The sequence below is a fragment of the Homo sapiens genome, chromosome 2 (genome assembly GCF_000001405.40).
Source record: "Homo sapiens chromosome 2, GRCh38.p14 Primary Assembly".
In the NCBI taxonomy this organism is placed as follows: domain Eukaryota; kingdom Metazoa; phylum Chordata; class Mammalia; order Primates; family Hominidae; genus Homo; species Homo sapiens.
In genome coordinates, this window is record NC_000002.12 from 20,552,127 (window position 1) to 20,580,046 (window position 27,920).

A 27,920-nucleotide genomic window follows, 5' to 3' on the forward strand; every position below is an offset into this window, starting at 1 on the left:
CCTTGCCACCCTCTTCCCCCACCCTTGCTGGGCTCTGCCTCTGTATGCACTTGGACCAATGGCCAAACTCTAGTCCTCAGCTTTCTCCTCTCGAATGGGGACTGTAGCATCGACCACAGAGCGTGATTTTGAAGGGTCAGAAAAGAGAATGCAGGTAAAGCACACAGTGCTGTGCTCAGGGCAGTCAGTACTTGGGTGTTGTTTCTTTTCTACCAAATCCCTCCTTCCACCAAGTCGACTGGATCAAGAGACGTGAGCAAAATACGTAATTGGAAATTGGAGGAGGCTGAAACGCTATCCCTGGGGCATGGGCTCAGGCTCCTGTTCTAATCTCTCGATAAGATAGTTAATTTATGAGTGTCCTATGCCATTTTCTTGGCTGGAAAGGTATAATAGGTACTTTAGAAGGGTGATTTTCAAGCTTAGCTCCTAGAGAAAAGATATCAAGAATAATTTAAAAAACAAAAACCAGAGCTGGGACTTAAATCCCAGAGTCTGATACCAATGGGCCAGGTGTTGACAGAGATTTCAGATGGGTGGAAAAGAAGATCTTATTCCACAAAGCAAGGCCCCTTTACAAGAGTCCAGCCTCGTATTATACCTCTGATGGTCCCCATAGGTCTCTTCCTGTGCTCGCTACCATCAACCTAGTTCAATCCAGTGCTCCTGAACTTGGCAGAGCACCCATTGTACCCTATGAGCCTAAGTGGCAGGTGCATGTGTGGTGGGGGAAATCTGTCTCTCCATGTTTTTTAGTCCTTGTCTTAGTATATTTTATGTTGCCATAACAGAGTGCCACAGACTAGATAATTTATAAAGGAAAGGAATTTATTTGACTTATGGTCTGGAGGGTGGGAAGTCCAAGGGCACAGGCCCAGCACCTGCTCAGCATCCGGTGAAGGCTGTCTTGTTGCATCGTCCCATGGCAGAAAGCAGAAGGGCAAGTAAGTGGGTGTGTGAGACAGACAGGAAGAGAGCCAAACTTATCCTTTATTTTTTTTTTTAGACAGGCTCTTGCCCTGTCACCCAGGCTGCAGTTTGTGGTACCATCATGGCTCACTGCAGCTTCAACCTCCTGGGCTCCAGTGATCCTCCCACCCCTCAGTCTCCCGAGTAGCTGGGACTACAGGCATGCGCCACCATGCCCAGCTAATTTTTGCGTTTTTTGTAGAGATGAGATTTCACCATGTTGCCCAGGCTGCTCTCAAATTCCTAGGCTAAAGCGATCCTCCCACCTCAGCCTCCCAAATGCTGGGATTACAGGTATAAGCCACCATGCCAGGCCCCAAATTTACCCTTTTATCAGGAGCCCACTGCCACCATCACTAACTATACCCTTGATAACTAACCTGCTGCGCAATAACAGCATTAATCCATCTACGACGGCAGAGCCCTCATAACATGATCACCTCTTAAAGGTCCCATCTCCCAACACTGTTGCACTGGGAATTTTTCCAACACATGAACTTTGGGAAGCACATTTAAACCACAGCAGACCCCATCTCTTTCCTATCTTTCAAAGAGTGTAGCTGGTATAGTCCCATATCAATACACGGTCATTGTTTTCTCATATAGAGTCAAACATCCTGGAGCTGGTTTCCCAATATGTACAAACTCTGAAACAACCTGGCCCACAGCAACCACAGCCCTATAATCCTTCCATGTACGTACAAATGTGGTCAAAGCCAGATTCACTGAAACACACGTATTTACAAACATAGTGTCAAGAACGTGGAATGGTCTGAGATCTTACCTTTTGTGCAAGCTAGCAAACTGATGTGCTGTGGTTTTGAGGATTCTGGTGGAAGCCATGAGATTCCTGGGCCAGGGATGAAGGACGGTTTAGTATTCACAGCAATACCAGGAACCAGAGTATCAGCATTTTAGTGCCTGGCCCCGATCCCTAATTCCCACCGAGTGATGTCAAGAGAATTAGATGACATCTATGTTACATTACAGGGGAGGAAGAACTCTGAGCTTAGGACTCCCAAGTCTTATAATAAGCAGGAACTATGCCTGCCTTCTCTCAGAAGTAGGACACTAATTCTATCTACCAAGGCTGTTCGTCATACAACACCCTTGAAAAGACAGTCCAGAACAAAAAGCAGTCAGTGCCTCACTTGTAAGATGTGCAGAAACACAAGAGATCCATGGAGAATGATCTGCTAACATTGAGGTCACTGGTCATGCGTCTCAATAGCCTGACACACGCTCCTAACACACATTCATGCAGCATATGAACACTCCTCAGTGAGCACAGACATACATGCATCACTGTCTAACAAACACGCACAAAGCTTAAGAAGCACTCAGGGGCCAGGCGCGGTGGCTGATGCCTGTAATCCCAACACTTTGGGAGGCCGAGGCCGGCGGATCACCTGAGGTCAGGAGTTCGAGACCAGCCTGGCCAACATGGTGAAAACCCGTTTCTACTAAAACTATAAAAATTGGCCGGGCGTGGTGGTGGGTACCTGTAATCCAGCTACTTGGGAGGCTGAGGCAGGGGAATCGCTTGAACCCAGGAGGCGGAGGTTGCAATTGCACTCAAGCCTGAACAACAAGAGTGAAACTCCACCTCACAAAAAAAAAAAAAAAAGCACTCAGACAGGGTTTGGAACAGTGCCTTGTCTTCCCTATATGAAGTGATGAACTGAGAAGGCTTAGCTTGAGTCTCCACCTCTATCCTTTGGCTACATTTACCTTAGAGTGCTTCTTTGCATACAAAAATATGATCCTTGCATCCACCCCCTACTTAAAACCCACTGCCTTCAGGACAGAGCTCTAACGTTCTAGCTTGGTCCTAGCCCCACCGTGGCCACCTTTCCAGCTCCTCCTGGCCCAGCATCCTGCCCTTCTGCCATGCGGGAACTTGACTTTCCTGTGCATTCACACACCCTTTCCCTGCCTCGGCCTGAAACGGAACAGGCATTAGTCTTGGGCCTGCAGCGCTAACTGTTCTCTGTGCTTCCCTCGCAATCCATGTTTACACCATTGTCTCACTAAGCTCACTGTGGTATCATCCCCACTTAATGTTTCTTGACTTTCTCCCCATGCGACGCTAGGAACTGTTCCAAAACAAGGCCTTTATCTGACTTGTTTTTTCATCTCTGTTGAGTGAGCCCAAGGTGGGCAGGGTCCACGGCTTAAGAGGCCAGGTGGCTGTTATCAGACCAACTATAGGACTGTAGGCAGTTCCGGCTGCCTAGTTTTTGGGGCCCAGGGCAGAAGGAAACTGTGGGGTCCTTGTTCAGAAATGATTAAGAATGACAAGTTGGTGACAGCAGAGCATTAATCCAATATGTGGCCCTTCTCAGAGTAAGGCCCTGGGTAATGGCACAGGTCACACATGCATGAAGCCAGCCCTCACTATAGGGGTACCCACATGGGGAGGTGGTAGCATCAGGTACCTTCACATACCCTGAGGACCCCATGAAGACGAAAGCCCCAGAGGGAGGAGCAAGTAGCCCAACAGAGCCTTTGGGTTTACATATGGTGAGTTTCCTTCCTTCCTTCCTTGCTCCCCACCCCCCTGCCTCTTCCTTCCTCCCTTTCTTCTTTTTTCTTTCCTCCTTCCCTCTTCCTTTCTTCCTTCTGTGTGTGGGAGGAGCTTAGCTCTTTTCCTTGTATCCAGTTATGAAACTTCTTTGGGCACCTACTGTGAACACTGACCTTGGTATAATGCAATGGGCTTCTTGATCTTAGAAACTCCCAGACACACCCACAGGAGAAAATGGAATCCCAATTCTCACTCCCCTTCCCCACTTCACCTCTGCATACATACCTGACCACCCATCCAGACCCTTCCCCTTCCCTCAGTTCTTCCTCTGTAAGACTTCACAATATATTGAGTCTATGTGTGAAGGTAAAAGTGCTGTAGACAGGTGCAAAATAAAGATGCAAAGAGAAGAGAATGGTAATAAATCAAAAGTAAGTCTGGATTATGCCCATCTCACTACCCAGAAGAAACCATTTGACTGTTTCTATTTCTATTCTAGTACCATAGTTCTGAATATGCTTAGATCTTTATTTCACAGTTTGTTAACTTTGGGCAGTTTCTATTGACTTCCTGCTATGAGAACTGATACATTTAGTGTACTTCTTCCTCACTTTGCTTTCACTCATCTCCTGGTTTTGTTATATTATTTTTAGCTCTTTTAGTTATCCTTATAACATTAGGTAATTTGCTTAAACCTTGGTATGGTTTTGTTCCATCAGCTTTGCAAAATGTGTCCTGACTGCCCATTCTGTAAGAAGAAAATGGTTTCTGCCTCCACTTCTCATCAATCCGAGTTTATGTTCTGACTTATTTTACATCATCAGACCCTTCAACTTTATCAAATATATTATCAAATTCTTTTACTTTATTAACTTCTTTTATATGATCAAGGTTACCGCATTTCTAAGCTATGACTTCTGGGCTTTGTCTATAGGTCGATTTCAACATAGCTCTTATAGTACTATGATTACAAAAACAGTACCAGGTTGGCCCCTCAGAGAAGCAACTGTATTCTCAAGTCACTAAACCTAGGCTGCTTGAAGAAGACACAAGACTTGGGGTCAGAGGGATTCTCTTACTGCACACGCCATCAGCTTCTCAAACCCATCAGTTGCTGCATTTTAGTTTAAATTGTACATATTTGGGCCATGACTGCCGTGTTCAGTTTGTTCTTTTTCCTGGCTCCTTCTTGTTCTGCCTTTCATTTCTCATCCAAAGAAGAAACACACTCTTCTTTTCCATGTCCTTAAAATCACCCAGATTTGTAATCAGTGGGGAAGGTTCTGAACTGGCTTTCTGGTTCCTGTGCAGCCCGCAGCTGGGATTTCCTTTCAGGGCACCACACTGCGCTAATTCCACTGTTCGTTCTACCCCATGCCTTCCTGTCTTTCAGATTCCTTTCTAATTTTGCATGTAATATGTCCTCAAACAATCTTTGTCTGAAAGGGTATTTAATTGATAGTTTGCCTAGTTGTAGAATTGAAGGTTCAAAATCATTTTCTCTCTGATCCCATTGACCTCTAGCATCTATGCTGTTGTAAATTCTGATGCAAATGCAAATTCTGATGCTAATGCGATTCCCTTTTCTTGCAAGTGACCTCTTTTTTTATTTTCTGGAAGCTAAGATCTTATCATTGGCCTTCCGAAATTTCATAAGGGTATTTTAGGATGTCCTGCCTTCCAGACAAAGACCTGTATTTTCCAACAGCGGTTATTTTCTCCATTTTCTAGGACTCTGAATGATGACGGCTGGGCCTCCTGGCTTGACCCTCTATGGAGACTCTGCTGCTGATCTCTGTTGGGCCACTTTTAGGTTGTGACTTCTTTGATCTGGTTTAGTCATTAGTTCAGTATAATCCTCTTCCCATTTTCCAACACAAATCTCTGACCCTGATGAACTCTTTGTCATGTTGATAGGGATTTCCACACGTGTACATTTCTATAGCATTTGGATGGGATAGAGAAGCCATCCTTTATCTACTATCAGGAGTGGAAAGCTCCCCTCTGGAAGTCTTTGGGTCCCTCTGAGAAAGCTGGAAAGACACAGAGAAAGGCAAGGAGGGTGCTCTGCAGGTTTCTAGAGGCCTTCGGAGAGCATCAGCTATTTGTGATGGATGCAGAGCTGCTGAGAAGTCAGCCTGCATTCCTGAACATGGCTCTCTCCTGGTTCAGGAATGCAGAACCCTGCAGGGGCCAGGTGCCAAGATGGTGTGGGTTTAGGGCAACAAGAGGAGAGGCAGTTCCCCAAGGGGTCCTCAAAGCCTTGAGGAGGGCAAGTGAGCCCCAGGCCTCTTGAGGAGCCCTGGTCTGACCCGGCAGGGTTTCTGCCTTATCCCAAGTTCTGCAAAGCAGAGGGCACCAGGCTGCTGGCTGCCCCTCGAAAGAGCACCTCCCTCTCCCTCCAGACTTAGCATCCCCAGATAGAGGCTACTTTTCAAGGACCCACTTGGACATTGTTCACTGCGTCTGTATCCATGTGATTTAGTTGAGCGGGTTGCTTTCCTCTTGACACCAGCAGCCAGGGATGGGGGTGCAGAGGGGAGATGAGATAATTTGGAAGTGTAGGACAGTTCTGAAGGAGAAGAGGTGGGAGAGGGAATAGCATTGAAGGGCTCTGGGCAGCAACGTTGACGGTGGGTGGGGAAGGTAATGGAAGGGGTCGCCAGATGGGAGGGGAAGAGCTTGGACCACCTACTTGGCTTCCAGGGAGGCTGAACCGCTTGCGGCCCCTCTCTGCCTCCTGTTTGGACACCTGGTACTTTTGTGCCTCCATTTCCTCATTTCTCATTCATCTGCACCCTCCCTTATTGAGCATCTTTGAGGTCAGTGGGGTATCATGCCTCCGTCTCAGTTCTGGGCTGCAAGGTAGCTGACAGCCTTGGGCAAGGAGCCCAGGGACACCTCTGCTGCCCAGTTTCCCTCTTCAGAAACGGACGGAGGGGATGTGTCAGGCACTGCGCTGGCACGAAGAGGGTGGGATGGAGAACTGTGAATTCTACCTTCAAGGGGGAGGCAAACCCACATGGACAGAGAAGACACAGGAACAGGGCCCAGCGGCACAGGGGAGACTTGGCTGATTTCCAGCATGGGAAGCAGATGCCCCTGCAGTGGTAGAGACACTGGAGCAAGATGGTTACAGGGCCCCAGAGACAGACTCAGCCCTCCAAGCCTGTGGGAGGGGAGGGCCACTCTACTGGGGGGCCCATGACCACAGAGGGGGTAGGGCCTGGCTGGGTGGGCGCTGCTGGGCTCACATCTCAGGGGCAGGTCTGAGGCAGTCTGGGAGCGTGAGGCTAGGTTGAGATACACAGGGTCTGCAGAAGTGCCTGAGGCTGCTGTGTGACCTGGATGTGCTGCATCGCAAGCTGGGCTGGCCGCAGAGCAGGGCTTGCTGGCACCCAGGACTCACATCGTGAGGAGCGTGAATGCAGGAAGGAAAGTCTGCTGTATCTGCATGGATCTCAGTGGGCCCTGGAGTGCCTCTAGTCCAACTTCTTTGTCAATGTAGGAACTGGGGCCAGAGAGGGAGAGGGCTACCATCCTTCTTGCACAGCTCACCCCACAAAGCCCCAGTTCCCCTCAGGGCCAGCTCAAAAACCTTCTCCTTTGGGACCAAAACTAATCCTCCAGGCAGGTTGGAATTGCAATGCCTTGGCAATGCTCCCTTTACCAGCTCCCATGAGGCCCGATCTGACTCCCGCTGTCACTGCATCTGTCTGTTCCCAAGCACCTCAAGGGTAGGATTGGGTCCTTTCTACAGGGTCTCCCAGTGCTTGTAGAAGAACGCAGTGAGTATTTGTTGGATGTGTGGATGGACAGGTGGATAGATGGGTGGGTGGATGGATGAATGGATGGATGGATGGATGATTGGATGAATGGATGGATGGGTAGATGGATGGGTGGATGGATGGATGCATGGATGGATAGGTGGATGAATGGAGGTGGATGGGTGGATGCATGGATGGATAGGTGGATGAATGGATGGGTGGATGAATGGATGGGTGGATGGATAGGTAGATGGATGGATGGATGGGTGCATGGATGGATGGGTGGATGAATGGATGGGTAGATGGACGGGTGGGTGGGTGGATGGATGGATGGATGGATGGATGGATGGATGGATGGATGATGGATAGATGGGTGGCAGACATTGTCTCCAGCCCCTCTGCATCCAGGCACTGCACTGGCACTCATCAGCCTTTCTCACCCTGCCTAGGGAGGCCTGCTCTGGGCTTCCCTCACACCTGAGCTGTGCACCACTTGCGATTTTTATGCTGTGAATAAGCTCCTGAAAGGTCACAAGGCAGTTCAGAGGTTGTTCTAGGGAAAGAGAAATGAAGCACCCTGAGTCTCTAAATCCTTAGCAGCGGGAATACCAGGTGACCTGTTTCTAAGTCAGCTTGCACACTGGGGAAGCCACCATACCTGCTCTCATCTGGCAGCCCAGCACATACAAGCAGGGCTGGGGAGGCACAGACCCCATGGACATTTGGCTGCTTTTGTACATTGACACAGCCAGGCTGGCTCTCATGGCTAGCTTTGCAAACTCTAAGCACAGGCTAGCAAAAGGCAATGGGGAAGGTGGTTCCAGGGCTGGTAGAAGGTACATGTCCCAGGGCTGAGGACCAGGACATGGCCAGGCCCACTATCTCATTTGTGGGTGGGTAGGTGGCAGAACCTGGGGCAGCACCCAGGCCTGGGGAACAGCTTTCTCACCTCTCACCATACTGGATCTGCAGTGGCGCCTCCTCCTCCACCCCAGCCCAGGATCCTGGGGGAAGGGGAAGGCTAGACGAAGCTGCTGTGGTCCTCCTAGATGGTTGTAGTGGAATCCGTGGGGAGGTGAGGAGGCAGTTGCTCTGTGCACATTGAAATCCCTTATGAGCCAGTGTCCTGCAGGAATAACAAGAACAGATGTGTGTTTTGGTGTTTATCAAATGACTTGACCTCTACTATGTTAGCATTGAGGCAGGCAGGAAAGAAATGGTTGTCTACACACACCTGTGTAGACAGTTTTCTCATTTGACAGAGTCAGAAACTGAGGCCCAGAGAGAAGGGACTCACCCAAGGTCACATGGCAGAAAATACTGGAGTCAGAAGCAGAGCCAGGCCTTCCAACTCTCAGGCCTGGCTCTTGCCTTCATCCCTATGGCCTCCGACTGCAGGCAGGTCCCAAAGCGGTGGTGCCCCTAGAGTAGCTGAGGACACTGTTCTGTCCCTGGAACTGACGCCTCCCTGGGGACTGTGGGTGGGAGCAGCAATGAAGGGAGTGGGTGTGATGGTGATGAGAAAGAAGAGGAAGGGAAAGCAGGGTCTGAGAATGACCCTGGGGCAACAGGAGCCTCTTCAGTCCCCACAAGGGGCAGAGGGCAGCAGTGAATCCAGAGAGAGCAGCCAGTACACCCTACCCCCAGCTGGCATCCCAGGTCTCTCCAGGTCTAGACTTGCACTGACTCCTCTGTGCCATCTTTCCAAACATGCCTGCCTCGTCATGCCTCTGTGCCTTTGCCTGGTGGTTTGCTTATTCTCTGTCACACCTGCAGGTCCTGCCCAGTGCCCACTCCTTGGGGATGCTCCCCAGTCTTCTCCTGTGGTGCCCTCGCTGTCCTGCAGCTCAGAGCTGGCACATGGGATCCCTTTCTCCCACTGCATGCAGAGCCCTGAGGGTAGGCACTGTGTCTGGTTCGTCTCTGTCCCCAACAGCTGACTCAGGGCCTGCAGAGAACAGCTGCCCAATACACATTTGCAGAACAAATGGGTTAATAGACAAAAGAGCAGTAAATAAATGGGCCTCACAATGCCTGACCACAGTAGGGCCTCAACAGATATTTATTGAGCTAGAGCACAAGAGTCCCAGAGGCTGGTCCACGATGCCACAATGTCTCTGTTGGCTTCCCTCCATCACACACATACAACCCCTCCCCACCTGCACACACATACACACACACCCACATGCCTCCACACATATGCATATGCGTACACAAGCATTCTTCCAGAACACTTGGAACATTTTATTGTGGCCAAATGGTTCTGCCCCTCCGTCTCAAAATGCACACTCCCAGGACCCCTGCTGTGATACTGTGATGTAATAAGAAATATATATTTTGTCTTCTTGGTTTCTGGCACACTGCTCCTTAAAACCCTTGGAATTGCCAGAGTGATGAGTATCTTTTTTATGCTAATGAGATGACTGGTGACTCATGACTTGGGGGCCCCTGCATAGCTTCAGGATGAGGGCTGATTACCAGAAAGAACAAGACGTGATTAGAAGGTTGGGACTTCTAACCCTAGCGCCCAACCTCCTGGGGTGGAAGAGAGGCTGAAGGTTGAGCTGATCAACAATGGCCAATGATTTAATCAATCATACAGAAGTAATAAAGCCTCCATAAAAACCCCAAAGGACTAGGTTTGGGGAACTTCCGGATTGCTAACCACGTGGAGGTGCTGGGAGGGAATGCACCCGGACAAGGCATGGAGGCTCCATGCCCCTTTCCCCATGCCTCGCCCTAGGCATCTCTTTCAACTCCGACTGTTCATTGGACTCCTCTGTAACATCCTTTATAATCAATGGGTAGGTCAGGCACTGTGGCTCACACCTGTAACCCCAGTACTTTGGGAGGCTGAGGTGGGAAGAATGCTTGAAGCTAGGAGTTTGACACCAGCCTGGGCAACATAGCAAGACCCCATCTCTACTAAAATAAACAAAATTAGCCAGCTGTGGTAGCATGTGCCTATAGTCCCAGCTGCTTGGGAGGCTGAGGCAGGATGATCACTTGAGCCCAGGAGTTTGAGGCTGTAGTGAGCTATGATCACTCCACTGCACTTTAGCCTGGGCGACAGAGTGAGACCTTGTGTCTAAAAAATAAAAATAAAATAAAAGTAAAATATAATTAATGGGTAAATGTAAGTAAAGTGTTTCTGAGTCCTTTGAGCTGCTCTAGCAAATTAATGGAACCTGCAGAGGGGGTCACAGGAACCCATGATTTACAGCCAGTCAATCAGAAGCGAAAGCCACAATGCAGGCTTGCACGATTGGCCTCTGAAGCAGGGGGCAGTGTTGTGGGACTGAGCCCTTAGCCTGTGGGACTAGAAGCTGTCTCCAGGGGGATAGTGTCAGAATTGAATTCAAAGCGAGGACAGACAGGCAGCTGGTGTCTGCTGGAGAGTTCCTTGGTGGCGGGAAAACAACTCGCACACGTCTGGTGTTGGAAGCATTGTGTTGAGCTGTGTATGAGAGAAAGAAAAACACTTTGGTTTTCTCTATCCCTAATACCTATCCACTCCCATACATGTATCCTCACTTTCCCTCTCCACCAACCTCCCCGCTCCCCAGTACGCGACACCAGTACCTGGGAACCTTCTCAACTTCCCACTGCGATTTCCAAAGATGCTGATCTTCGTCAGCTGCATTAATGAATCACAGCCCAGGAGGCTCCGACCTTCCTAAAAATATCTGAGAACCCTCAGTGCAGAGAGAGACTGTGAAGGCGTGTGCATCCTCTTGGAGCCAGCCTGCCCTGCTCAGGCCATTGGGGGCTACTCGTCATGCTCACCTCTCCCCCATGTCCTTGCATCCTCACCTGCTCTGAACCCCAGAAGGCTGAACCAGTGGTTGCAGAGCCAGATCTCTCTAAGACAGCCTCCAGTGCACCCACACATTACAGATGGGGAAACTGAGGCCCAGAGAGGGAAGGGCCACAGGCCCTTGGTTCCCAGTGCAGGCCACTGCACAGTGTTGCCTCTGTGGTCAGCAGCCAAACAGGGGTGGGGAGGAGGGACTCCTCAGGTTAGACCCCCAGCAATGAGGGCCCAGCCTGGCCCCTGCAATGAGCTGTGGTCTGATGGGGCCACTACTGGTCCGCAGACTCAATAAGGAGCTTCTACAGGCAAAAGCAGTTTCCTGGGGCCAGGTGTGGAGGGGCAGGGGGTGGTCCACCATGGTGGAGCTGCCCTCCTATCACAGGCTTATGCTTCTCAAGCAGGGAAGACGAGGAATGGTCCCCGAGATGGAGAGTGGCAGATTTGGACTTCGTTCTGCTTCACAAAGCTCACCAGTACTAAGTCCATTCTTTTGCCATTCCTGCACAGGGGGCTTCTTCACACTCGCCCACCCCTCCACCCTGGCAGTAGAATCCAGAGGGCTCTCATTGGTAGCTACAGCTTTGTTTTTCAAAGTGTGGTTCATGGACCAGCGGTATCGACATCCCCTGAGAGCTGGTTGGAAATGCAGAGTCTCAGGCCCCACCCCAGACCTGCTGAATCAGACCCCAAGGGGTTTTCTGCTGTTAGAGTTTGAGAAGCTCGGGGCAATGGAACCACTTAGTGTAGTCTCACTCAGCAGTGACACATGTGATGAGTTGTGCATGCATAATATTATTAATCAGCTGGGAGGAGAGCCAGGAGGACGGGAATAGGAAAAGGAGGGCTCCTAGGATCCTAGCACGGCAAGTCCAGAGTGAACGTGGGAACTGTTGCTCAGCCCCTCTGGAGGCTCCTCGAAGGAGTGAATCTGGGGCCAACAGAGCATGTGAGAATTTGTCCACTGCTGTCCTCTTCCTCAGGCTGGAAACCCCTCTAGTCTCTCTAACAGGTGCTTTTCAGTCCCAGCTTGGGCTCCCATCATGACGGGGAGCTCACCACCTCTCAGGTGGTCTACTGCAGGGTGGACGGCTGTGACTCCGACAGAGACTCCATCACGTGGAGCAGAAGCTGCCTCCGTGGCCCCAGCTGGCCCACCCTCCAGCTCTGGGCTCCCTCAGGGCTGCTGGTGACCAGCCAGTTCCTTCTGTGATCTCTTCTTTACTCCTTGTCACTTTATTCTTTTTCTAGTTCCAGAAATAGTCTTTCTGGTTTTTTGTTTTGTTTTGTTTTTGTTTTTTTGAGATGGAGTTTCACTTGTCCCCCAGGCTGGAGTGCAGTGGTATGATCTTGGCTGACTGCAATCTCCACCTCCCTGATTCAAGTGATTCTCATGCCTTAGCCACCCGAATAACTGGGACTACCAGCATGTACCACCATGCCTGGGTAAGTTTCGTATTTTTAGTAGAGATGGAGTTTCACCATGTTGGCCAGGCTGGTCTCGAACTCCTGATCTCAGGTAATCTGCCCGCCTCAGCCTCCCAAAGTGCTGAGATTACAGGTGTGAGCCACCATGCCCGGCCCAGAAATAGCCTTTCTATTTGTGTTTGGAGAGTCATTTTATGGGTCTCTCCTCACTGAGAATGGAGGTACTGCCACACTGTATGGAAAAGGCACCTACAGAGGCAGAACTTCCACCACCAGGACTCAGAGGGTGGCATCAGCCTCCCTTGGTCACTTCCTCCTGCATGGCAGACAAGTAGGCATCGTGCTGCAGGCTCTGCCCTGTTCTTTGGGGGCTCAGGAAGTGGAGAGGGACATTAGCAACAGCCCAGACTGGGATCATGGCCTTAACCTGCCAAATGCTGGAGCTTGAGAGCAGGTTACCCACTTCTTCCCAGCAGCAGGTCCAACAGTCTCTGTGGGAAGACACAAAATTGTGGCTCAGTTAGCCAGCAAAGACCTAAGACTAGGAGGCCCAGAGCAGAGCTAGCCCCCAGCTCAGTGCCCGGCTGTGTATAGGGGATAAAATGGGGTGAGGCCATACCCAGGGTGCAATTGCTGCACACTCACCCAGGGCAGCAGCCCCCGTGTCGCCCACAGCCTGCTCTCACCCAAGACTGTGGCTCCTCCACCAGATGGACCAGGCACTTCCATGGCCCCTGCTTCCTGACCCTCCTGTCCACTTCCCACACAGCCTAGGGACCACTCTGAATGCCATCCCCTGTCCCCCGCCAGACCCTCTCCACAATTAATGATCTCGACAGAGTGGGTCTCCCTGCCACCTGCTATACCCTGACCCAGGGATACCCAGGAGATCTCCTCTGAAGCTTGACCCTGGCAGCCATCTGTAGCCTCCCACAAACTAGGAAAGGGTGGTGGTGGGGACAGCCCCTCCCGGGCAGGCCAACCCCACCCCGTGGGACAGTCAGCACACCCTGCAACTAGGGTACGTCTAATAACAGCTGCACTCATCCCACTGGAAGATGAATGTGGAACCTCTGATCCTGCTCCACCAACAGGGAGCAGGGCTCTCCAGGGCCAAGCCAAAGCCACCAGGCAGGTCAGAGCAGGGTTTTGTCACTCCTCTCAGGATATAGCGGGACAGCAGCAGCCCAGAGAGCCGGAGCCCTGCTGGAGCCTGCGCAGTGAGATGGATGTAGAGTCAGGGCTGGAACTGGAATGTGCTGCCTCACAGGCCAAGGCTTCCATGGAAAAAGAACAGCCATCATTCATGGCTGAGCGCTCCAAGCTAGCTACCACATACGCATTGCTTCCTGGTATGGTAGTTATGACAACCCTATTTCACTAATGAGGAAAGGGCTTAACAAACTCCACCAAGGTCGCAGTTAGCAAACAGCCCACCCTGCCCCTCTAGGAACTCCCAGCTCATTTCCCAGGACAGGAGGCTCTGCAGCTCCTGCTACACTCACCAGCTTTGCCCCATCCCGGCACTGACAGGGAGTTCACTCCTTGGGGAGCCCTTCCTTTGGCAGCCAGACTTATTCCCCTGCAGTAGAGTTCAAGATGTTTCCCCTATAACTGCCCATCTCCCCCGCCTGTGCCGGGGTACAGCTCTAAGGGAGACACAGACACTGCTTGGGCTGACTCCTTCCCAGCTGAGTCTCTGAACTGCCCAGGGATCTGTAGTATGTGGGTCCGGGTGGGGTGACTCCCAGCTCTCAGCATTTCTGCCCCAGTGGCCTGAGCACCTGTGGGTCCAAAGCCCTCAGAGTCACACTGGGTCTCCTGTTCCCTGGCTCTCTGGTCAAGGAAGACAAGGAGGAGCAGGCATCACTTGCTCACTCTGGCCACCTGCACTCTGGCTCTAGCTCTAGGCACTTCTCTCTTGGCTGCAGTGACAGGCAGCTGTGAGGCCAGGGATGGAGTTTGTCACAGGTTTTTTTTTTTGTTTTTTTTTTTGAGATGGAGTTTTGCTCTTGTCACCCAGGCTGGAGTGCAATGGCGCGATCTCAGCTCACTGCAAACCCTGCCTCCTGGGCTCAAGCGATTCTCCTGCCTCAGCCTCCCGACTAGCTGGGATTACAGGCACACACCACCATGCCCAGCTAATTTTTGTATTTTTAGTAGAGACGGGGTTTCACCAAGTTGGCCAGGCTGGTCTCAAACTCCTGACCTCAGGTGATCTGCCTGCCTCAGCCTCCCAAAGTGCTGGGATCACAGGCATGAGCCACCAAGGCTGGCCCCCCACAGGTTCTCTTTTCCCATTCCTAGAGGTCCCTTCACTACCCTTCTAGCCCCTGAACCCCTGAGAACAAGGATTGAGTTTCTCCTACTCTGTCCCCCTCTCAGAATCTCCTGACACCATGGAAGTCACGGGTATTGGGTGCCTGCATGTGCTAGAAGCCACCCTGCTCACCATCACACAGATTCATCTAATCTGTCAATAACACGATCTGATGAATATTACTAGTTCGTTTTACAGACGACAACACCGAGACTTGGGAGTTGACTTGATGTTACTGAGAAAAGGTCACATCCTTAGTAAGTGGCAGCAGCACGGGACTCACATCAATATGGGTGACCCCCGGACTCAAGTTCCTTCCACTGGTCAAGCCACATTCCCTGTAAGGTGCTGCTTCTAGAACAAGGGGGCAGAAGCTGGGGGCATCTCAGCCTTGCCCTCACACTGATTCCTACTGGGCTGCCTGAGGCCAGGCCAGTCAGACGCTGGGGAATCAAGGGGCTCTGTGCTTGCAGGGCCACAGGAGGGCCCGGCCCCAAGTATCCCAGTCCCCATACCCACCCTCGCCCCTGCTGGTAAGTTCGTTAAGACAGAGAGGCCTGAGGAAGGCATGTGGTGCTGGCAGCCAAACAAAGGGGGTCTGCGATCAGCCAGACACTTCCTCACTGGCATAAAGACCTACTTCCCCCCCAGACACAGCCCCCGGCCACTAGGACCCCAAAGAATGCCTGGAATGCCGTGGGGCCAGACAGTCTCCAGGCTCCTGCAGACAGAGGAGAGGCTGCCTTTGTGCCCAGAGGACTGACCGCAGGCTAGAAAGGTCACTCTCTGACCTGTGACCTTGCCCTTTCACCCCAGTCCCTGGGAGTAGCTGAGCTTCCCTCCTTAGGACCCACAGTGTCCCTTCCGTGCCAGTGGAACCTGACCCCAAGTTTGCAGCAGCTTCAAGAAAGAGGAGATGAGTTCCAATGATGCAGATGTGGCTCCCACAGCTGGCCCCCAGCACCGAGGGGGAACTCAACGTCCCCAGGGGCTCTCTGGAGGTCATTTGAACAGTCAGTCCCCTAGGAGGGCAGCTCCAGCCCCCTCCTCACCTGCTCCTCTAGGGCTGGTCTCGCTCAGTGCCTCAGGACCACCCCCACCACCCCTGACCTGCTGACTGCCCAGACTGTCCTAGAAGCTAAGGGCCTAGAACAAAAGAGAAATGAATCCCTATACTCAGGGCCATTCTAGCTGGAGACAGACACAAACCCAAGTCAGTTCTAGCAGGAGAAAGAGCCTCACAGGAGGAGAAAGGTGGTGCTGGGGGGTGCGGGGTAGGGGGCTGCAGTCTCACACGTGGTCAGGAATGACTTAGAGGAGGGCGGGAAGGAGTCCCGTGGCTACCTGGGGAAGAACATTCTAGGAAAAAGGAGCAGCAAGTGCAGAAACCCCAGTCTGTTCAGGGAACAGCAAGAAGAGCAGGGTCAGCACGTGGTGGGGGTTCCTAGGAGCTGGAGCCGGGCGGGTAATGGAGGAAGGGGCCAAGCCTGGGCCGCCGTCAGGCTTCAGTGTTCACTCGGGGTGAGATGGAAGCCCTGTCAGGTTTTAAGCAGAGCAGCAACAGGATCAGACTTGTGGCTTGTAACTGGGCCCTTTGTCTGGGGACTAGACAGGAGGTGAGGGAGGAGGTGACAGGAACCAAATCAGGAGGCTCCCAGGCCTGCCATGGCCCAGCCATGCTGACACATCTGCCTGTCTGTGGCAGCAGCTCCTGGAAGGAGCTCAGGGCCCAGGGCTGGGCAGCTGCCCAGGCCACATCCCATTCCACACTCACCGTGATAGGCCAGGCCCTGTGTTGGGGACAGGATGGAGAACCATAAGACATAGTGCTTATCTCGAAGAGTTCCCACCTGATGAGGGACAGGCAGATCTTGGCAGCCTCTCCCAGCTCTGAGCCCCAGAGCTCAGTTGGGACCTCCCAAGGGACTCATCAGCATCCTCTCTACTGCTGGCAAGGAGATTGCCCTCGAGGCCGTCTTGGTCACTCCAAAGCTTAGCCCACAGCCTGGTCTGTGGCTTGAGGTCCCAGTGGGCTGGAGACTCTCTGGGGTAAGCAGAGTACTGGTCGACTTCGGGCACCAATGAGCCCGGCAGCTAGGAATGACATGATCAGCAGGACTGACAGTGGCCCTACAGCTCAGCCGCAGCCCAGCCCAGCCTGCCTGGGCCTTGTTCCCGGGTAGCCAAAAGAATGGAGGCAGGAGAGAGAGAGAGAAAGGGAGGCCCATGTCCCACCACCCCCAAAAGGCAGAGAAACATGTTTAGCCTGTCTGTGACTCACTCTTCCTTACAAGAAAACTTTTTGTTTTTTCCTTCAAAATCGCAGACTTCCACCTTCAGACAATAACGTGTCCTCAGGAAGTTACGTATTTTGTTTTTCTGTGCAAGCTGCTGGGGCTTTTGTTGTTTTAGAAACGTCTGCTGTAATTGGGCCTGTGGACAGACTGTGGCTGCCTCTCAGAACAGGCTGACTCCTACATAGGGTGGCCAAATTTGACAAAGAAATATATCAGACACCCAACTAAATTTGAGTTTTAGATGAACAACAAATTCTTATTTTAGTCTAAGTATTTCCCAGGCAATATTTGAAACATACTCAGGCTAAAAAAATTCATTGATCTGAAATTCAAATGTAACCAGTATTTTACTTGGCAACCCTTCCCCTAAGTCCACCAACAAACCCACAGCCATGCCTCTCTCGGTCACCAGCCCCACTGGTTCCCAGTGTCCTCCTGATCCTCCGACTCCATTGATCCCAGTGAGTCTCCCAACCATTGGCCTGTGCCCTTGGAGTTGGGCACAGGGGACCTCAAGTCACAGGCCAGGCTGTGGGCTAAGTTCTAGAGTATCCAGGAAGCCCAAGCCTCACACATTCCCTGAACCTTGCCCTGCTTCCCATTTGCCCCACCGCCTCTCTCTACTTTCCAGAAAAGGCAGGCAGGTGCTGCTCCCCAGCCCCCAACAGTCTCCCTCCCTGGGATCAGGACCCTCTGCCTGGTCATTCATAGGAGTCCCTCTGGGCTGCCCCCAGCCCTGCCCAGGGCTTTTCTGGCCTCAGCCTGAGAGAAGCAAACCGAACATTGATCCTTTATGCAACGGGCTGCACCTGGCTCCCACCTGAATCAGTCTACTCCCCTAACCCCGGCCACAAGCAATTCCAGGGCTTTTGACACCCCAGAGACTACTCCTCTCATCCTCAGCACCCTCTTCTCATGGAAACGTTTGAAAAGAGAGTTTTTTTTCCCCCTTCTTTTAGGCTGGGACACCAGAATATGGAGTCCCGCTTCTGTTTTAAAGCACTATCTCCTGACTCCTGGGGTAAACATTTTTCCAACTTTATAGAATGCTAGAGCAGGGAAAACACCTTCCTTCCATTCTCTGGCCTTCAAATGATCGCCGTCAGGTTGCTGAACTTGAGCTCTTGGGCTCATGCATCTCATAAATGCTCCCTGGGCACCTGCTTGCTGCGGCTGAGCCCTAGGGCCACTGTCAGTCCTGCTGATCATGTCTTTCCTAGCTGCCGGGCTCATTGGTACTCGATGTCGCCTGGCAGCTGAACTTGGTCATGGGTATAAAGACAAAAGAGAGCCTCCATTGCAGCCCCAAGGGCTCAGGATGGTGGGAGAGAGATGGGTAAATGTCTAATTGCCTTATGATAATTCTAGGATGGCCATGGAGGACATCTTGGGGCTACCCAGGCTGACAGAGCAAGAGGTGGTTCCCAAGAACTGCCCAAGTGAGTTCCCAGGTGTTAGTAAGATTCTGCTAGGGGAGGAGGAGAAGAAATGGTGTCTCAGAAAGGGGAACAAGCCAGCAAGGCCTGGAGGCTTGGAGCAAGTGGCTCTCTGAGCTGGAGGAGTTTGGAGGTGTGACTTCCAGGAGGGCAGCAGGGTCTGTTGCATAAAGGGTCACTGTTTGGCTTGCTTCTCTCGGGCTGAGGCCAGAAAGCCCTGGGCAGGGTCATGGAAGGCCTCAGATGCCGGCTGGGAGCTTGGATTTTATCCTAAAGGCACTAGGGAGCCAGGAGAGGGCTGGGAAGGATTGCAGAACCCAGGGAGAGAGAAGAGGAAGACCTATGACAGGGCAGTGAGGACACTGGGGAGGGTCCGGCTTCTGGGACAGGGTCCCCATCTTCTTCCGCTGCTCTGAGACATAGACCAGGCCTTGAGGCTTAGTGTTTGCTAGACTTTGCGGTTAAAGGAAAAAACAAAACTGAAGGCCCAAGTCTGAAGATGGCTGTTCCTTGACGGTACCCCAGCACCCCCTTCCTTAGGCTGCACTCCATTCTGTCAGGCCTTTCCCCCAGCCTTGCTCCCTCTGCGTTTTTCCACCCTGGCCTAGGCTGGGGAGCAAGCTCTAGGCTGGGGACCCAGCCCTAGCAGAGGCCCCTCCCTCACAGCACAGCCTGAGCCCCGGGGCCACCCCATGCACCTCCAGACTCTTGGAGCCAGAGGCCTGTGAGGCAGCCCGGGCCTGTTCCCTCTCTTCCTGCCGAACACTCCCCACATTGTTCGACTTTGTGTCCTTTTTCCTGTGCCTCGGCATTTCCAACTTTATTGCCCTGGTTCCCTCCAAAGGTCATTGGCCAAACAGACTGGCGCCATCGGTTGGAAAAACAGCGTGCCTCGGATGCCTGGTATTGGTCCTCCTGAGAAGAAGGGACAGCAGCAGAGAGAGATCTTCCCACTGCTCACTCCCTCCAGCCTCCTGGACCTGCTGGGGCCCACATCCTGGCCCATGGGTACTTCTGTGCCCCTGCCTTGGGCCCATGCTCACCAGAGCTTCCCCCAGGAGTCTTTCCCTGGAGCCTGCTGAGTGCCCCAGGTCCACCTGCTCACATCAGGTGCCACTTCACGAGCTCGAAGTAGAGCCTGGTATCTCCCCAGTGCCACTGCCAAAGGGCTGGGCCAGAATGCAGGCCACTCAGGTGACATGGTCCTGCCTGCTCTTCTCCAGCAGGCCGGAGCACCGAGGCCAGGAATGGAGATTCCCCCTTCTCTCAGATCCCCGCAGGCCTGCTCCCCTCTTGCCTCATCTTATTTCCAAGGACTCCAGGCTCAGAGAGGTTGAGTCATATCTAAAGTCACAGAGCTAAGAGCAAGGGCTGGGACTGAGACTGAGGCTTTTGGTTTTACCCCCTGCACTCTTTCCTTTCTGATGGCTCAAGAGCTGGCTCGGTTCTGAAGTCTTTCCTTGAAGGGGCAGGGCGGCCCAGGGGAGAGGCTGGGAAGCAGGGCTCAGGCCTGGCTCTGCTGCCAACCCCTCATGTAGTTCTGCTCAGGCTCTTTCCAGGCTCTGCTGCCTCCTTCCAGCTCAGAACACCAAGATTTCTAGGTTGGGGCCATTTTTCCTCTGTTCCTATCAGAACACTTCCTCCGTCCCTGATGACACAGGCTATGGGGCTACAGAGACTTCTGACTCAGGTCTTCGTGTAGCCCCAGGACTCTGGAGTCCTGTCCCCGTACCCTACTCCACCCTATGCTGGTGATTTAGAACTTTAAGTTTGTTATACAGAGAGACAGCATGATGTCGTGAAAAACCAAGGACTTTGTCCTCCAACCAACCTGAGTTCTTATTTTGTTTTTTTTTCTCACTCAACTGTGAGATCTCGGTCAGGTTATGAAAGCTCTTTGAGCCTCAGTATCCTTATCTGTAAAATGGTTAGAATTATTATAAGGATTAAGTTACACAATGAAGAAAAGTACCTCGAACATGGAAGGTCTTCAATAAATGGCAGTGATTATTGTAATCTTCAGAGGCTCCTTCCTCCTGTCTCTTCAGGGTACTGGAGCCCGGGGATCAGCTCCCAGCCTGTCCTTCCCATCTGTTTGGGGGTCACTGGGCCTGCTCAGGAATCTGTGGACAGGAACACAGGTGGCCCCTGCTCCAGGGCTGCAGCTGTGCTCCTTGCACTTCTAACTGCTCCCTGCCAAGCCCCATGGGAGCAGAGGGGCCTGGGCAGCCTTCCTGTCTGCCAGCATAGCCCATCACTCTGTGGTCCCCAGGGCCACAGCCTACTGGTAGCCACCGCAACATAGAGAATGTGGTAGGCAGAATACTACCAAAAGTACCCCCAAGATAACAGACTCTAATCCCTAGAATCTGTAAATGTCACTGTAGTGGGTTGAATGGTGTCCACCCAAAAGATATGTCCAAGTTCTAACCCCTGGTACCTGGGAACAAGATCTTACCTGGAAACACAGTCTTTGCTGATATAATTAAGCTGAAGGTCTTGGGATGAGACTTTTCTGGATTTAGGGTAGGTCTACATGCCCGGAGCCTCCAGAAGCTAGAGGGGCAAAGCATTCTCCCCGAGAGCCTTCAGAGGGAGCATGGGCCTGCTGACACCTTGGTTTTGAACTTCAGGCCTCTGGAACTGTGAGAGAATAAATTTCTGTGTTTAAACCACCCTCTCCTCTTTAACCATGGGGTCCTCTGTCTCCACCACAACCCGTGGTACTTTGAGTCTCTTTGTTACTTGTTCTTCCCAGGGAGACCCCCCAAGCCCCTAACTGCTTTTAATCCTGAGGATCACATAATTCAGCAGGTTTTGAGTTGTCATTTTGTAGACTGAAAACCTGAGATTCACAGGTTCCCAAAAAAGGCCTGGCTCGGGCTGGGCCAACAGCTCTAAAGGAGTCGCAGCCTCCCGGGCCTTTGCTTCCAGAGGCTCCACAAATCCACAGCTCTCAGCTGATATCTCATTAGGGAGCTATGGGCTTCCCCTTCCTGTTCAGCTACTAGTTTAAGTTGTTTTCCTCCTTCTGGTCTGCAAGGAACAAAAACAAGTAATTTTCTCATAAAAATAACAATTAGCAAAGCCCGGAATCCAGACAGCCTCCGGTCAGGACCATTCATCGGTGCTGACCTCGAGGTAACTTCAGACTCCTTGTGAGACACAACACCGCCATCCCCACCAGGACAAGGAGGGCCAAGCGCTTTGCTGCCCTGCATGGTGGCCTGGTTGGTGACTGCAGCAGTGTTTTCAGGGACATAGAGAATGAACAGGAAGACCAATGTCAGAAACAAAAGCTTCTTGGACACTCAACATGGTTTTGAATGCCATAGAGAATGCAAAACTAGGTCCTTCCTGTGTGGGTTGCCCTCAAAAACCCAGGGAAGTGTCATGTTCACAGCAGGGAAAACAATTGCACTGATTAATTGTGCTTCTGTTGATGCTGCGGTTCTCCTGACTTCTGAGTGCATCACAGTGAGGCCATCTGCCAGATGGAAGCGCTGGAACAGACAGCTTCTTGGAGCAAACTGCAAGGCTCGTGAGACTCAAAACAAGCCTGTTAGATCCCATTTACTAAATGGCCATAATCAAAGAACAAGCTCTTAGTTATCTAGCAAGGCGCTCTGGAAATAGATGAGCATGCAAAATCACAATTTATGAGTTCAGCAATTTTTCTTTTTCTGCTGAAGATATTAGCCCATGAAAATCTTGTAGTGTTTGAGGAGATTCAGTCAATTGCTAACTTTCTGCAAGTGTCTTATCCATGGCTGCCTCCTTTTTCCCACCACTGCGAAGGGCCCTAGGCTTGGCAAGCAGGGTTGAGCTGGACTGGGAGAGGAAGACCTGGGGCATACCTCATTTCAGAGCCCTGGAGGGCCAGGGGATCACTGGGAAGGAATGAGTGCTGCATGGCCAGGAAAAATGAGTGACTGTATAGCAGAAAGCATGGTCAGCCTCGGTGGATGAGATGACAGTGACCTGGCCAGCCCCACTCAGTGGGCACCTGGCTTCCCCCAGCAGCACCCGGGCAGGCAGTGCTGGGCAAGCCTGGCCTCCTGGACACCTCACAGGGGTCTGCTTCCTTATCTGCTGTGTCCACATTGGGAGCCAATCCTGTCCCTGGATCAGGGCAGCAGATCCACTGAACTGAGCTAGGAGAGAAGTCGGGACCCTGGGTTCAAGTACCAGCATGGTTATCTACTAACCGTGGAACTGTGGGGAAATCAGGGGTCCTCTTGGAGCCTCAATCCCCTCCTCTGCATAACTGGGATGATAATGTTGGCCTTACTTGGTTTTTGCCAGGATTAAATGAGAACACAGGAGTGGTTGTTATTACTGGCGTAAAAAGAACCATTTCCTAGCTCATTAATGCAGACAACGTAAACGTCTGGATGCCTAAGGACAAAGCCCGGGACTTTTCTGCACTTGCTACTCACCCCCATATTGTTGTTGGGCATTTGTTTGGATTTCTCTGGAACTTTTGGAACAATGGGCTCTGGAGTTTTGTCCTGTGGTCATTCACACCCTCAAGGGAAGCATTTGCTGAGCTCTAGGCCTCGTTCCAAGGGTGAGGAGCCTGGTGGGACATTTACCTGAATCAGGGCCGCAGCCTGGACAGGCAGGGCTAGGGACAGGAAGGCCAGAGACACATAGTGTCAATCCCTGAGCCTGGAAGCCCTAGTCCAAAGCCTCCTGGGCTTATTTCAACCCATCAGCTGACTCTGACAATCAGAAAATACCAAAAAGGGCCCACCCCTTCCTCTCTAGCTCTGACACTCCAAGACCCTGTTTGGTCTCAACATGCAGCCCAGTTCCCTGGCTGCCCAGCCACACTCTGCCCACATATTTTAGACTCCCAAAGGGTAGTAAGTCCCTCTTGCAGCATCCCTGGAGGCCCCGCCACATGCCAGGTGAGGAGCCAGGCACTGGGGAGAAAGCCACAGTGTGCCTCCTGCCTCCTCCCCTCTCCAGGTTTGTGCCTCAAGGCCCGGCATTCCTTATCCACGGGCCTGGCCCATGTGCCTGGGCTCTTCCACACGGGGGCCTGGCAGCAACGCCTCTGTCTCCTTGGTTCCACCCCCCCCCCCCCCTTCAGGCTACCCCAGCAAGGGAGGACAGGAGCAGCTGGGAAATTAATTTACAATGTGAGTGACTGTTAGGCCCTGATACCCACACATGAGGAGTTGCTTTTTAAAAGGTAGCTATTTATAAAAATGAATGCTTGAGAAGTTCCTGACAGGCAATGGGGGAAGGGGACTGGGGAGGGGGACCTGAAAAACCTGTCCCACCCATTTCCATCTTTGTTTTGTTTTGTTTTGTTTTTTGAGACAGGGTCTTGTTCTCTCCCAGGCTGGAGTGCAGTGGCATGACCGCAGCTCACTGCAACCTCAATCTCCCGATCCTCCTGTTTTAGCCTCCCAAGTAGCTGGGACTACAGGTATATGTCACCATGACTGGCTAATTTTCTTTTAGTTTTTGTAGAGATAGGATCTCACCGTGTTGTCCAGGCTGGTCCTGAACTCCTAGGCTCAAGTGATCCTCCTACCTCGGCCTCCAAAGTGTTCTGGGATTATAGGTGTGAGCCATTGCACCCGGCTATGTGAGGTTTCTTTCTGCTCAATCTTTGCCTAAGTTGTTTCCTTCATATGGACTCTATGTGTTCCTCCTCTTTTCCTGTCCTCAGAGAACCAGCTGGAACCTCACCTCCTCTGAGAAGCCTGCCCAGTACAGCTCCTCCTGCCACTGAGGGCTTAGCTCAGGCGTCCCGTTTTCCATGCTTTGCAGTCTTATCTCCTCTCTGGCCTGAGACCTCCCTGAGGCTCTAGTCTAGAGCCTGAAAATATCAGAGGAGGGCTGGAATCTGCCACATTCTAGCTACACGACCTTCTCTCTAAAGTGGGAACAGGATCGCCTCCCTCATTGTACTGTAAAGTGCCTGGCATATGGCAGGTGCCAACAAATACTGCTACCCCCAGAAGTTCTGAGAGAGACGGAGGCCTTGAATGGTACCCTTAATGGGGCCCACAATCTAGGGACTTTTTATTCCACAACAGAAATGGAAGTTGACCTGTCACACTGAGTCTACACTATTTCTTGGGTCTTGCCTGCCTCCCGGAAGCTGAACTTATCACCAGAGGGACTATGCAGGCTGAAGTTTCTGTTTCTGTTTCGGTTACGTATAGAAGCAGTTGCTTTCTAAGAATTGAAGGACACCTAGTCATATCCTTTTGGTCAGTGGCAAACAAATGATGGGGAACAGAATTCCCACTTACAAATCTTTTCCCATTGGGATGTCTAGGATGGATGGTTCCTGGGAATGCCCTGGGAATTTACCTGGGAAGAGTATTTACAAGGAAATTTATGGGAGAATTTACAAGGGAATTGCCGTTTGAGTTGGGTTTTCAGAGTAAACAAGGGCTTGTCACTGGGCCTAGATGGAGATGTGGGGTGGCCCAGGGCAAGTGAAGGACTTGGGGTTCCAGGGAGATTAAGGACTGGGGGCATGACACACTGATATTCATGTACAATTGAGTTAATATTTCCGTATCGGGGAGGGCCTGGGAGCTGAGTGGGGAGAGGGTGGGAAAGGGGGACCCTCCTGATGGACCCAGGAGGTTCAGTCCCAGCCCAAACCCAGCCCTTCAGAAAGACCCAAGGCTAGTAGGCCTGGACTCCTTAAAAAGCTTCCCAACCATTGGCTGGGGAAGAGCATGATTCTTGGGGTTGTTTTACCCCAAGGGCCTTGTCCAGGGCTTCCTTTGAAACAAGTGCAGCGATCTCCCAGAGAGAAGTTCTAGACCATGCAATCTTCCTGTCTCCCTGCATTTCCTGTGACATGTTAGCGGCTTGGAGGTGTCCCCCCAGCTCCACCAGGGGCATAGGAAGAAAGAGCCTCCAGGCCCAAGGTGAGGGGCACCTCCCAGCACCGCCATCTGGGAGCGTAAGAGTGCCTGTCTGTGGCTGCAGCCTGGGAGGGAGAGAGGGTCCAGAGATGGAGGCAAGCAGAGGCCAGACCAACTCAGGCCGGGTGCATGAGCTGGAATTGCCAGGCCTCTGAACCTCAGGCTAGGTCGCATTCTTGGAGCAGCAGATTAAAGTATGAGGGGGTATTGTCTAAGCTACACTCCCCGGCACTGGGGCTGGATGGGGATTGGGCTTCCAGGGTTCTGTTATACTGATCAGATCAATGATTCATATGCTGATGTATCAGAACCACCTGCAAACACATTTCCAGGCCTGCCTCAGGGCACTCGTTCCTCAAGCCTGTCCAGTGTGACTTCAACCCCCTTCACAGCTGAGTAGGTTGTGGCCAGGGGCCATGGATCTGCAAAGACTGAGTAACGTGCCTGATGTCTCATCATGATCCAGCCGGCTGGGGACCTCTGGCATGGAACACTCCAAGCTGCATCATGTCCCCTCAGGCAACTTGCTGATCCCTGGCAAGGGGTGCAGGAAGCAGGCTCACGTGGCTGTGCCCTTGAATCAGGGCTCGGGAGAGTGGCACAGGGTGGGGGTGGGAACAGCCTCTCTTGACCAGTGCCTAGCGTCCTACCTGTGGCTCCTAAGTGGCTCCAGGGCTGCCCTCAGAGGCGGGATGGGATGCAGTCTTCATAGGAGGGGACTTGGTCTCCATGGTTTTCAGGGCAGAGCCCCACACCTATTACCTGGGCCCTGAGGCTCTACCCTAGCATGTCTCTCTGGGCTGTCCTCTGAAAAGTTGCTCACCATGGTAACCAACCAGAAGTAGAGCCCCAGCTGAGGGCAGTGATGACACCATCTTTGGCCCTTGGACAACCGGGGCAGTTCTTGCCCGGAGGCTCTCGCAGGCAGCCCCACACACCACCTATATCCCGAGGAAAGATGGGCATTCCCAAGGAACATGTTCAGGCCAGACCCTCTGGGAGGTGAATAAGAATAGATGCCCAGCCAAGAACCTCTTCAAAGCTCAAGAGGAATGAAGAGAAGAGAGAGGACCACCATTCACTGAGGGCTGGCCATGGGTGAGGCACTGGGCGTAGGCAATCTCCTACATGCTCATGACAGCCCTGGGAGCAGTACTGCCACCTGCACTGGACAGGGGAGGAAACTGAGGCTCAGAATGGGAAAGTAATTTGCTCAAGGCCAGAGTCCCTGGGTGTGTAGCTGTGACTCTGGAGCCATGCTCTGTATCAACCAGTGGGGTGTACATGAAACATCAACAGTAACAGCAATGTCCAGGTTCAAAACATTAAAAATAGCCTCAGTACTACAAGGCTTTCTGTTTCTGAAACCTCTGTTGAAGGCAGCCAAGTGGAAAGTCAGGCGGTGTCCCCTCCCAAGCCTCACAGGCTGAGCCAGGTTTGGTGGCCACTGAAGCCCTTGACTTCCTTCCGGTCTCAGGTCAGTCCTCCCTGGGGCACTCCTAATATGCTCATCTGGAGGCTTCTGTTAAGTCCAGGAAACTCTACAGGACACAGCTGAGGCTGGGCGGCCACCAGACACGTGCTGTGTCCAGAGAGAACAAAGCGGGGGTTTCCCTGGGTTCCATGAGCACAGGAGCCTTTTCCTCCAGGCTGGCTCCATCCGAGCTGGCTGAGGGTTGGCGGCAGCTGCCCAGCATCTATAGGGTGCCTCCGGGAACTGTCTCAAGGCCAGAGCATCCAGCCTCCTGGCTGTTAGTGGGCCGTGAGCCTACCGGGACTTCGAGAGACAGGGCTTCCCCAGATCCAGCCTGATGAGATCATCTGCCATTTCAGGCTGGGCTGAAAGATCCTCCGGCACAACAAAGCTGGGCCCAGGAGATATCCTGCATGACTCATCAGTTGGCCATGCATTGGAGACTTCCGGCCCTCAGAGAAACCAGACACAGAGAGCCATTGTTTGCCTTGGAAGCCCCCCGGCATACCAGGCTCAATGGGGTCATTTGTGTTTTCTCCCTAGTCCTCCATAACCCATACTCTTTCTGGGAGGTGGGGGCCCACTGAGCTGCCTGGGACCCTGTGACAAGAGGAAAACCAATACCAAGTCACCTACCCACAAGTCCCACGGGAATACCCTCCCTCCAGGACCAGGGCCTGGCTGGGAAGCAGAAAACCTGGGTTCTGAGCCATGGTTTAAGTCTCCAAGACTCACTGATTCTTCTGTCTTCATTTTTCAAATGGAGAAAATCATTCAAAAAAGACAAAGCTATTGTGAGGATGACCTAACGTAAGGCACATAAAGTTCCAGGCTCAGGCCTTGCACCTACAAAGGTTCTGCATGTGATCTTTCCTTCCCACTTCTCTCTTCCTCCTGCCTTTAAAATGTAAGTGAAAATGTTTTGTTTGTGGATCTGTTTCTATCCTAATCTACATACCCTTATCTAGGGCAGAAACTCCCTGAAC

At 52.1% G+C, this 27,920-nt stretch overlaps 1 protein-coding gene across 3 annotated transcripts in view, besides 10 other annotated features; it reads right to left on the reverse strand.

Annotated features, from left to right (window-relative positions):
- Positions 1 to 70: a silencer, noted in NCBI's record as "silent region_11211". NCBI's record gives its function as "represses an Ori minimal core promoter by ATAC-STARR-seq in GM12878 lymphoblastoid cells {active_cell/tissue: GM12878}" and the evidence as "EXISTENCE:reporter gene assay evidence [ECO:0000049][PMID:35858748]".
- Positions 1,735 to 27,920, reverse strand: part of HS1BP3 (HCLS1 binding protein 3) — a 97,238-nt gene continuing 71,052 nt past the window's right edge. Inside the window, exons 7-8 of one of the 3 annotated variants that reach the window (XM_017004698.2) lie at positions 8,213 to 8,389; positions 1,735 to 1,819 (exon numbers count right to left, since the gene is read on the reverse strand). In XM_017004698.2, coding sequence (XP_016860187.1) covers positions 1,750 to 1,819; positions 8,213 to 8,389 — 247 coding nt within the window. In that variant the 3' untranslated portion in view covers positions 1,735 to 1,749. Of the gene's footprint in view, positions 1,820 to 4,339; positions 6,069 to 8,212; positions 8,390 to 27,920 lie in introns of those variants that run through there. The other 2 variants (XM_017004696.3, XM_017004697.3) reach the window with 2 other exon arrangements.
- Positions 8,967 to 9,489: an enhancer, noted in NCBI's record as "H3K27ac-H3K4me1 hESC enhancer chr2:20760853-20761375 (GRCh37/hg19 assembly coordinates)". NCBI's record gives its function as "activates a minimal SCP1, AML or CMV promoter by ChIP-STARR-seq in naive H9 embryonic stem cells {active_cell/tissue: H9 hESC(naive)}" and the evidence as "EXISTENCE:reporter gene assay evidence [ECO:0000049][PMID:30033119]".
- Positions 11,691 to 12,647: an enhancer, noted in NCBI's record as "H3K4me1 hESC enhancer chr2:20763577-20764533 (GRCh37/hg19 assembly coordinates)". NCBI's record gives its function as "activates a minimal SCP1, AML or CMV promoter by ChIP-STARR-seq in primed H9 embryonic stem cells {active_cell/tissue: H9 hESC(primed)}" and the evidence as "EXISTENCE:reporter gene assay evidence [ECO:0000049][PMID:30033119]".
- Positions 19,451 to 19,951: an enhancer, noted in NCBI's record as "H3K4me1 hESC enhancer chr2:20771337-20771837 (GRCh37/hg19 assembly coordinates)". NCBI's record gives its function as "activates a minimal SCP1, AML or CMV promoter by ChIP-STARR-seq in primed H9 embryonic stem cells {active_cell/tissue: H9 hESC(primed)}" and the evidence as "EXISTENCE:reporter gene assay evidence [ECO:0000049][PMID:30033119]".
- Positions 23,038 to 23,538: an enhancer, noted in NCBI's record as "H3K4me1 hESC enhancer chr2:20774924-20775424 (GRCh37/hg19 assembly coordinates)". NCBI's record gives its function as "activates a minimal SCP1, AML or CMV promoter by ChIP-STARR-seq in primed H9 embryonic stem cells {active_cell/tissue: H9 hESC(primed)}" and the evidence as "EXISTENCE:reporter gene assay evidence [ECO:0000049][PMID:30033119]".
- Positions 24,646 to 24,785: an enhancer, noted in NCBI's record as "active region_15393". NCBI's record gives its function as "activates an Ori minimal core promoter by ATAC-STARR-seq in GM12878 lymphoblastoid cells {active_cell/tissue: GM12878}" and the evidence as "EXISTENCE:reporter gene assay evidence [ECO:0000049][PMID:35858748]".
- Positions 26,408 to 27,920: an enhancer, noted in NCBI's record as "VISTA enhancer hs2384". NCBI's record gives its function as "enhancer in: heart[10/10] | other[5/10] | ear[7/10]" and the evidence as "EXISTENCE:transgenic organism evidence [ECO:0001131][PMID:17130149]".
- Positions 26,707 to 27,906: an enhancer, noted in NCBI's record as "CDK7 strongly-dependent group 2 enhancer chr2:20778593-20779792 (GRCh37/hg19 assembly coordinates)". NCBI's record gives its function as "activates an origin of replication core promoter dependent on BRD2, BRD4, P300/CBP, MED14 and CDK7 cofactors, with strong dependence on CDK7, by STARR-seq in HCT116 cells {active_cell/tissue: HCT116}" and the evidence as "EXISTENCE:reporter gene assay evidence [ECO:0000049][PMID:35650434]".
- Positions 26,885 to 27,214: an enhancer, noted in NCBI's record as "active region_15394". NCBI's record gives its function as "activates an Ori minimal core promoter by ATAC-STARR-seq in GM12878 lymphoblastoid cells {active_cell/tissue: GM12878}" and the evidence as "EXISTENCE:reporter gene assay evidence [ECO:0000049][PMID:35858748]".
- Positions 27,405 to 27,464: an enhancer, noted in NCBI's record as "active region_15395". NCBI's record gives its function as "activates an Ori minimal core promoter by ATAC-STARR-seq in GM12878 lymphoblastoid cells {active_cell/tissue: GM12878}" and the evidence as "EXISTENCE:reporter gene assay evidence [ECO:0000049][PMID:35858748]".